The 10277-nt window shown below is 39.2% G+C and overlaps 1 long non-coding RNA gene across 2 annotated transcripts in view, besides 2 other annotated features; it reads left to right on the forward strand.

Moving 5' to 3' along the window:
* Window positions 1-10277, forward strand: part of LOC105378849 (uncharacterized) — a 65806-nt gene that overhangs the window by 47511 nt on the left and 8018 nt on the right. The window lies entirely within an intron of this gene.
* Window positions 6880-7381: an enhancer, noted in NCBI's record as "NANOG hESC enhancer chr1:90739373-90739874 (GRCh37/hg19 assembly coordinates)". NCBI's record gives its function as "activates a minimal SCP1, AML or CMV promoter by ChIP-STARR-seq in primed H9 embryonic stem cells {active_cell/tissue: H9 hESC(primed)}" and the evidence as "EXISTENCE:reporter gene assay evidence [ECO:0000049][PMID:30033119]".
* Window positions 8800-9374: an enhancer, noted in NCBI's record as "NANOG hESC enhancer chr1:90741293-90741867 (GRCh37/hg19 assembly coordinates)". NCBI's record gives its function as "activates a minimal SCP1, AML or CMV promoter by ChIP-STARR-seq in naive H9 embryonic stem cells {active_cell/tissue: H9 hESC(naive)}" and the evidence as "EXISTENCE:reporter gene assay evidence [ECO:0000049][PMID:30033119]".

Below are 10277 nucleotides of genomic sequence, written 5' to 3' on the forward strand. Positions count from 1 at the left end.
CGTATCATGTACTTTACCTGTATTAGCTCATCCGAGTCTGTCAACCCTTTGACATAAGCACTATTATCATCATTTTACAGATGGGGACATAGAATCTCAGAGAAATTAAGAAACTTGCTTAAGGTCACTCAGCTATTAAATGGCAAAACTGGTATTCAAAAATAGGTGAAATAGTGTCTTACTGGAGTCTATGCCACAGTGCCAAGCTTGTAATAGGTTAAACTAAAAACAAAGGACTAAAAATACGATATCAAAAATTTTCTCTGTTGATATGCATGGCTACTGTAGAAATAAAAAGGGTTTCAGGATAGTGGATTTCCTCTGTTGCCTCAGAAGGCAAATGAGGATTGCAATACTGGTCATTTATCCCAAGTATGAAGGAACAAGAGGTGATGGTGGGTAGCTTAGTTCAGTCTTGTGTATACGACTTACCAAGTAATTCTATGAGACAGGAGTCATGCTGTGAGTAATAAATGGTCTGTTTCTCTGACCCAGGGGTCTTGTGTCTTCTGTCAGTATATGTATATAAAACTATGGCAGGCTAACTTGTTAGCTTCCAAGTAGGTAAAATCTCAGACCCTTCATAGTTTCTGACTTAACACTGGGAGGAGGAGGTCATGATTGTCACACCTCCACATGGAGGGAAACAACAGTAGGGTCCTCTGATATGCAAGTTCTCTGAGTTTCCCAGCAGAATGAGGGGTGAGGAGTGAGATAGTGGAGACAACATTTTCCGATTATCTTATGCTTGGGCCTGTATTCTCACAAAGATAAGAGTTGGAGAAATGCAAATTAAAATCTAGTAAAATATCACTTCACACTTATTAGAATGGCAAATATGAAAATGTTGAACATACCAAGTCATGCAAGAAAGTGGGTCAGTGGGGATTATATCTTGCTGGTAGGAGTGTAAATTGGGGCAATTTATACTTTAGAGAACAATTTGATAATACTTATCAACTAAATGTTCTAGAAATTCTACCATAGAGAAAGTCTTGCACAAGTTGCATATATAAGAATACTCATTGTGACATTGTAAAAGTGAAAATTAGAAAAAAATCTTAAATATTAATCAGGAATAGAATGGATAAAAAATTGAGGTAAATTCATACTATCTAGCAGTTTAAATAAATAAACAAACTACATATATCAATGTGGATAAATTTTACATACAATATTATATTAGTAAAAGCAAGTTGTTGACACAGAGTGTGATGCCATTTGCATAAAGTTTTGGTGTACATAAAAGAGTAGTGTCTGTTTTGGGGATTCATTCAAGTGTAGGATGTAAAAACATGCACAGATGAGTGTTTGGTGGTAGGAAGAAAGAAGGGAATGGAATAAGAAAAGGTACACAGAAGTTCTTCAATTGTAGTTATGATGTTTTATTTCTTACACCTGGTGGCAAGGACTGAAATATTTGTTGTATTTTCCTCTATATTTTTTGTGTCTAAAATATTTCATAAAAATAACCTTTAAAGAGTATTTATCATTTATATTGGAAAAGAACAGATAAGGCTTGGGAAAACATATCAGAATAACTTTATTAATGGCAGTGATTTCAACCTCAGAAGATTTAGAATTGTTATAATTCTAAATTCTATTCCTAAATCGTTTTAAAAATGAATTAATTTGATCATCTGTCAGTTCAACAATACATTTCTGAAACCATCAATCATTTCTAGAATGCAAGAAGTTGTTGGAGAAAATTCCCGCTCCCCATTTGTTTGTTTTTGAGTCATTTGTGAAGTTCTTCACTTATTAGACAATACATTATTAATGGCATCTAGATAGGAAGTAATGTCTTGGAGCTTAACTTGGCAGCAAATAGATCTACACACCTATGCTAAAGGATTAACTTGAGAAGGAAAGATTATTCAAATTATTATTCTTTTATAACTATTGAGTGAAAGTTTAAAAAATCCTGGTTTCTGATGAACAGCTTTGAATTTCTTTAAAATAGATCTATAAATTAGAAGCAAATCATTGTTTTCCCATTAGAAGAAGTGCCCTCAGATACCTAATTAATGTCTTTCTAAATTTCTGTGACTGAAACTTTGTGGCCTCAGTGTATCTATCTTCAGGACAATTTGGGGAATCACAGTATAGATTCTTCCCGTGTCTTGGTCATTCTTTAAGGAAAGAGTGAGGTGGTTATGTGACTAAGGTGGGGTCCACTTAAAATCTGACATATTATCATTTTAAATTACAGGCCTTGATATTGTGATCATTTCCAAGATGTGTATTGGGTTTGGTGATATATCATCACTATTTGCAGAATATATTTTATCCCCTATATTCTAACTTTTACCTCCCCCATGAAATTTCAAAATGCATTCCATGACCCAAAGACAATGGCACCAGTGTCTCCTTACCTTGAGCTTGTAAATAATACAAGTGGTCATTAATTGGACATGATTTGGTTCTTGTATAGAGATAAAGACAAGATTTTGTTCTTATTGTTTTCCCAATCTGACAGTCAGGGGAAAGGACTGAAGGAAGATATATACAAGCTACAAACTGAGCCTTGTGCAAGCTCTCTCTAGGTCCCAGCACTTTGGGAGGCCGAAATGGGTGGATCACCTGAGGTCAGGAGTTCGAGACCAGCCTGGCCAACATGGTGAAACCCCATTTCTACTAAAAATACAAAAAAAAAAAAAATTAGCCGGGCGTGGTGGTGGGCACCTGTAATCCCGGCTATTCGGGAGGCTGAGGCAGGAAAATTACTTGAACCCAGGAGGCAGAGGTTGCGGCGAGCCAAGATCACGCCATTGCACTCCAGCCTGGGCAACAAGAGCAAAACTGCATCTCAAAAAAAAAAAAAAAAAAAAAAAAAAATAGAGTTACTTTGTGTGGGGAAGAAAAGAGGAGAAAGAGTTTTTATGGGAAGGCTCCATTTGTTCTCCTTTTCCATCAAAGATAAAATTTAACAGGAAAGATTTTATTTGAACATAAAGAAGAAATTTTGAATAGTTTTTTAATACTGTAAAAGATTATGGACAAGTATCTTGGTCATATACTTTTTGAAATTAAAGTGACAACCAATCCTCAGCTATGTATTCTAGGTAGGTTCATTGGCTACTTGACTGACTTTGCTTTTCAGCTCGAGGAATTCAAGATTTAATATTATTCTCATTTTACTAATGGCAAAGATAACTCAGAGAAATGGAGTGACTTTGCTAGAAAGAGAGAGTTAATATTAGAGTTCCTATTTGAGTGTAAGCAAAATCAGACTTCTTTATCCCAGGTTCTCTCCTGATGAGCGTGCACCTTTGCTGTGTTTCTACTCTCTAAGGGGCTTGTGGCTCAATTAAACCAGAGCCTTCCTTAACTAACATGAACACAGGTGACTGATTCTATGTGGGATGGTCTTTAAGTAATCACACGAGTGGTTCAGATTTTGTCAGGCATTTTATATCTTGTAGAGTTAAATTTGATTTCACTCCATTAAATTCAGTAAACCTCATTGAAGACCCACTGTGTGCCAGACGCACAATCAAGTGCTAAGGATATACTTTATATATGTATATATATATTTTTAAATTATACTTTAAGTTCTAGGGTACATATGCACAACGCGCCGGTTTGTTACATATCTATACATGTGCCATCTTGGTGTGCTGCACCCATTAACTCGTCATTTACATTAGTTATATCTCCCAATGCTATCCCTCCCCGCTGCCCCCACCCCACAACAGGCCCCGGTGTGTGATGTTCCCCTTCCTGTGTCCAAGTGTTCTCATTGTTCAATTCCCACCTACAAGTGAGAACAGCAGTGTTTGGTTTTTTGTCCTTGCGATAGTTTGCTGAGAATGATGGTTTCCAGCTTCATCCATGTCCCTACAAAGGACATGAATGCATCATTTTTTATGGCTGCATAGTATTCCATGGTGTATATGTGCCACATTTTCTTAATACTAAGGATATACTTTTAAAGGAAGCAAACACAGACTCAACATCACAGTGCTTCAGCCTAGTGGAACAACAAACAATAAGCAAATAATCTCAAACACGATGAACATCATTAAAAGGGAAGTAGATATGGAGAAAAACCCAGGCAAAGTCAACATCGATTTTACTTTAGTCTGGACAAATCTATTTCTGTCTCCAGAGATACAGCAACATTTAAGTTCATTGCTTCTTGGGAAGTAGCTATTCATTGACCTTTATAGATAGGTGCATAGGAAAATGTGTTATTCGCTTGATTTCTTGTATAAATCCAAAAGAAGAATAGAAATTACTAAAGAATAGTTAAAATTTGTGGAATGGTTAATTTTATATACTTAATTATAGAATTGTTTATACACACTTTGCATTTTATGAGAATGTAGACTAAGGCATTACACTCCTTCATTTTATTTGTCATCATAATCAAACCTGAACCTAGTCAAAATACTCACTTAAATAGGCTATTTGGATGGTTTAGTCACACCATGGCTTGGACTTTGCCTGCTTTTTCCCAAAGAGTGAGGCCTGTGACAAGGGCTTGCGAGAAGGTGGTTTCTTTTGGGAAGTAGTTCAAGAGACAAAAGTGAGACAACTGAGAAGACTGAAAGGTAGAAGAAAGACCAGTTCCCGGGTGTGTTATTGCACTGATTACCACTGTAGGAAACTGGGGGTCCTTCTTCTTGGGGACAGCCTGGAAAGCCTTGTGAATGTGCCTTAGAACTGTCAGACAGCCATAATCATCTATTGGCTCTCATATGCCACTGGAAAAGAGTGGCCTTCAGGGAGTATGAACCTCTCCAGCATGCCCAGGGATGGCTGAGTGGGTGTCTCTGGTGGCAGAAAAAATTCCAGGACAGAAAGCCAGATTATATGTAGCAACTGAATCAAGCTGCTGTCAGGTGCCAGTTGGTGGTTGCCACAATGGTCAGAACAAGGCGGGGAGATGGAACGGCAGATATTCCTTAAAAAGAACTATTCAAAATATCTCCTTCCTTTCCATGACTGAAAGGTGGAGGTCAGAGCATCTACAACACAATACAATGAAATTGGAAGTGCATACTTTCTTTGCAGAAAGGTCTCCTTCTGTAGCTGTCCTTAGGTTCTCTGAATTCAGGGTACAAAATGGACCCTGGTGTCTAGAATGGTGATTAGGAATTTCATGAATATTTGTTAGCCAGAGCTTTAGAGAATGAGAGGGGAAGCCCTTCAAAATGCTGAAAAAGACTCTCTTCTTGAACTAACTTTAATCAGGCTCCTCTGAGACCTCTGCTTGACTAGGCCTGGACTTGGGCTTCCCTCTGTCCTTGTAGTATTTAATTTGAGCAATAATCCTAGTATGTCAGTTTAGTGAACTGACTAACTTTCCCACTGTTGGTATCTGACCCCTCTCCACATCTTATTATGTTGGTCCATCTTCAGCAAGAATTCCATTGAGTTGGTCTAGCAAGAGTCCCACCTACCCCTGATGTTTCTTCTCAGTATTTTACATTCGCTGACTCTTACCCTTCTCCTTGGCTATAAATCCCCACTTGTCCTTGAGGGAGTTGGAGTTGAGCTCAATCTCTCCCTGCAAGACCCTATTGCAGTGGTCCCTCTACTTACCATGAATCCTCCCCTTGAATTAAATTCTGCCTTACTGTTCTTTAATAAGCGTCATTGGACAATTTTTTCTTTAACGATGCTAATGTCTGTAGGCTGAAGAGAAACATTAGAGGCTTACTATGTACCAGGCACTATTCTAACACATCAGAACAATGTCCTCAAGCCCCTTCTATGTGCCATGCTTATGCTAGACACTGGGGGGAGTAGGTTGAATAAAATGTGGCTCCTTTTCTCAAAGAGGGATCCATTACTGTTAGCAAAGAGTAAAGAGATAAATGACACCACCACAAATCCTGAGTCATGACATGAATTTGTTGAGAGTGCAACTCTTCCTAGGGTGCTGGGAAGGGTTCACAAAGAAGGGGGCCAGGACTAATGCCCTCCTTTTACAGCAACCGTAGCTTCTAATTCCCCCTCATATAGTTACAACTTGTTTGATATATACAGAAGCACAAGAATTAATGTCCTAATGATATGTATTATGATGTGGTGCTAATATATGTGAAGTCAGTACTGTCTTCAGACAGTTCACATTTCATTTTCTGAACAGAATAGATAAGATTCCATCAAGTTTCTTCTTAGTTGCTAAGGACTTCATAAATTTCTCTTGTAATTGACTTGCTCTCAGACAATAATTGTTAACTGATAAATAGGAGAATTGTCAGGTGTGGAATCAGTGGTGAAAGAAAGATAGTTTCTCTGTTGCACTTATGAAGAATCGCCGATAAGACCTCTGATCCCATTAAGGATATAAACCCTTCAGATGGAGTTGATGACAGCCCCATGGGCTGCCTGAGCCCTCACCAGCTTGGCTGTTCTCAGTGCATGTTCAGCCAAAGGGAGATGAAATCAATGCAAGAATTTCATGGCCTCCAAGAAAATTACTGTTGAGAGATGACCTAGTTCTTTGATTGGTGTCACCAGAAGACAGGCCTCCTTGAGAAATGAATGTAATGACATCCACCAGCTGCTTAAATTCTTTCTATTATATGCATTTGCTTTCAAATGGCTTTAGCATTTTAGCATAAACTACCACTTGCTTTCCTCCCAGGTTTGGGCTCTGGGCATTTTTAAAGCAGCAGGCAGAGGCAGTGCTGGCACAAGCAGCATACTGCTCTGCATCTCCCAGGCTGGATGAAAGCTTCTTTGCTTGGATCCCTTAATGATTAAGGGCTAAGAAAGTGGCATGAGTGGATTAATGATTCCAAATGAAATTCCTCCCTTTCCTTTGTTGTGTTCTCATTCACCAGAATTACTGTGGTGTAAGGATAAATACTGGGACTCTAAGCACTATATTGCCACCTTCCCTTCCGGTACCCACATTTCCAGTACCCACATTGGTTCTTACATGGGTGTGTCCTGGCTTTACTCATTCTTATGTCTGCACTGACTTCTGAAAACTCTTGAAAGTATCTTATTTTGTCCCTATGAAAGACCTAGATGTACATGAAGACAGAAAGTGAGCTACAGGAGTTGAAAAGATAAAATAAAAACTAGAGCGGAAGATACAAACAACATTTGCAAATGAATGAAACCCCATGGACTCTGTTGATCTGCCATGACTGCTATAGCCTGCTCCCTCATCTCACTTTTTCACCAGTCTTCCTTGCTTCTCTCTCCCTTGGCTCCATACAGTGAAAGATGGTGGATAAGGTGCTGCAAAGATATAACAACAGCAGCAGCAACAGCAGCAGCACAGTCTTTTAAACTGAATTTATGTCTGAGTACTTACTATGTACCAGGCACCATTCTAAGCAATTTTTATATATTAACTTGTGTAATCTTCACAACAACCCTATGGATTCATGCTATTATTCTTTTATTTTAGGTGAGGGACTGAGGCACAGATAGCTAAAGTAACTTAAGTTTATACAACCATGTCCCTGCCTCAGTTACCACTCTCTTCTGCTTGTGATAACCATAAAGGATTGAATACAAAAAGTTAATGTTAATGCCTGCCGTTTCTTTGTCAAATGGAAAAGTAGGTGCTGAGAAGTGTTAGAGGGAGAACATCCTGTGTCCCTTCCAAGTGGAAAGATCATCAGGATCTCCTGCCGGATAATGTCCTTTTGGAAAATATGAGTCATCCTCAGGAAGCCCCACGCCCAGGATAGGTCACACTAAATACTTTGCCAACCCAATGTGAATGCATGGCTCCATTAATACTATGAATAGTATCTTTAAGACGGTTTTGAACAGTAAGCTGCTAGCACACACGTTCTTCCTAGGGGCCCACTTGTGGCCTCCTTCATCCACATGTGCCAGTGTATTACTTACTGGTTGCTGCAGGCAGGAATGTTAGATAAGGTGTAATTTCTAACTGACGTTGAGCTTTCATTTCAATCCAAGGTATTTGGGACAGAGAAAATTTGTGGAATAGGTGGTTTCCAGCATGTTTGTCGCTCAGAGGAAAAACATTAAGAATTTAGCTACAGGCCGGGCGTGGTGGCTCATGCCACATCTCTACTAAAAATACAAAAATTAGCCGGGTGTGGTGGTGGGCACCTGTAATCCCAGCTACTCGGGAGGCTGAGATAGGAGAATCACTTGAACCTGGGAGGTGGAGGTTGCAGTAAAAAAAAAGAATTTAGCTACACTGGGGTCTTGTCTTCCTCTATTCACACCTGGAAATCTGCTGTCTATGGAAACCTGTGAGATCTGGAAGAGCTTGAAAGAGCTCCTGGATCTTTATCATTTTTGATGTGTGCCCTTGCAGACTGGTGTGAAAAATGTGGGCAGATGTGGAAGATTTTCCATCCTCAATCTGACTCTGACCATGGGTTCAGGATGGGTTTGCCAAATAACTTACTGGTTTTATAACAGGTAACAGGTGAGTATAACATGGTAGACCATTGGGTGACCTCCCTAAGAGGCAACCAAATAGCTGGTCCCCTCCAGTTCCGTTGGGCAGTTCAACAGAGGGAGTTACTGAGCATAGCTGGCTTGCATGAGGTACTTGGCAATGTGCGTTTGGCCAAGGTGCCCACCTGTTGACCAGCAGCATGAAGAAGAAATGGTGTGAGTTCATGCTCTGGGCCTGTATGCCTCATGCGTGTGCTTCATGCATTTCTAAAGAAGCAGCCCCACACCATAAAACCTCCCTGAAAGCCACTGAGGTACCTCTCTAAAAACCATAATAGACTGTGCTGAAAGCCTAACTTTGACTGATGTGAGGTTTGGGACTCTACCCAGGTAAGAATCCAGGCAGCAAGGAGACCGTAGAAGGCAGATGACCCAGAGTAGGGCCAAACTGTTTACCAGCTAGTGTGTTTTTGAAAATTTTCCTTAACTGGTCATGGCAGCAGAAAATACCCTGCTGTTAAACGCATCTGCAATCTGCTGCTCTCCCAGTCCACCTACAAAAATTTTGACCTTTAAAGAAATGATGGAGAGGCTGGTGATTTTTTCGGTGGCATTGAAGCTCAGTCTATTTTAGGCTCCAAGGCAATTGCAGCCCTCTTTGCTCCCTATTTTGCATCACTTTTAAGTCTTGTTCTGGCCACTGTGAACCCTTGAGCACTTCTCCCGCTACAATCACTCAAGATCTGTGATCTGTGATTTGCAGATGACATGCACATTTCTTGGCTGATGGTTGCTGAAGCAGTTTGCAAACCTAAGGCAGTTAAAGGGGGAGGGGGTGGAAGAGCAGATTACAACTGTAATGCCACCCTAAATTTCAATTTTCATGCAAATGTATAACTGGCTTCTCATTATTTTGAGTGAAGGAACAGTAGCGGTTGGTGTGAATTACCATATTCATATTTTGATGACCAAACAATTGGCTGATTTCTATTGTTTGTCACTCCTGTGAAACTATAGTACTTTAGAAACCCAGGTGGGAGCAAGATGTTATTAACAACACTCCTCCCCCCAAAAATGTCCAAACACAAAGACAAAATCTTAGGATCCTCTCATTATGAAAATCTGTTACAGGGATGTGTCAAAAAACACTCAGCTTCCTGAGTTTTAGAGCAATAATGGCTGTATTTTGGACCAGTTTTCATTTGAATATCTGCAAAATATGTAAATTACCAAATCTTTGAGAAAAGTTATTTAATAAGTGTCATTTATTGAAATATTCACTCATTTAAAAAAGACCATCTTAATGAAACCTAGGCTTATCTGATTTTTAAGCAGACATGATATGTGTGTAAATGTAATGTGATCTGAAAGACACATTAATGAGATTGCCATCAGAAGGATTACTGAGATTCTGTGTTCAGACACCGAGAAAAGCCAAATGGGTGTATCAAGCACCCATTTCTAATCTTCAAAAGCAAATTTATTGAAGTGTCTCAATTTTGCCACACACCCTAACATCTGCATATGGGACCAGATTCCTAATCCTGTCACACTGTGATGCTGCAGATTAAGAGAATGTATAATCAATGCCTCTGTCGCTATACATAAATATAGACTGCTAAATCAAGTGTGGGCTTTACAACAGAGACTCCTTATCCTAAGCAGATTTTGCACTAAACATTGCTGAAATCCTGGAAAATTAAAAACAACAACAACAAAAAACAGTGATAGTCTCTGGTATTTTCTTCCTTTATCTAATTAAAAAAAATTATCTGTAAGTGGAAGCTACCATATAAATGTTTCAACAGCAAACAAGAAGCAAAGAAAAGGAAATTCAGACTTAAAGAACACCCCACCATGTGTCAGACATTGTGTTAGATGCTTAACATACATTATTCCATTTAGTAATAAATCAGTACAAATAA

Source organism: Homo sapiens, chromosome 1, assembly GCF_000001405.40.
Source record: "Homo sapiens chromosome 1, GRCh38.p14 Primary Assembly".
NCBI lineage: Eukaryota > Metazoa > Chordata > Mammalia > Primates > Hominidae > Homo > Homo sapiens.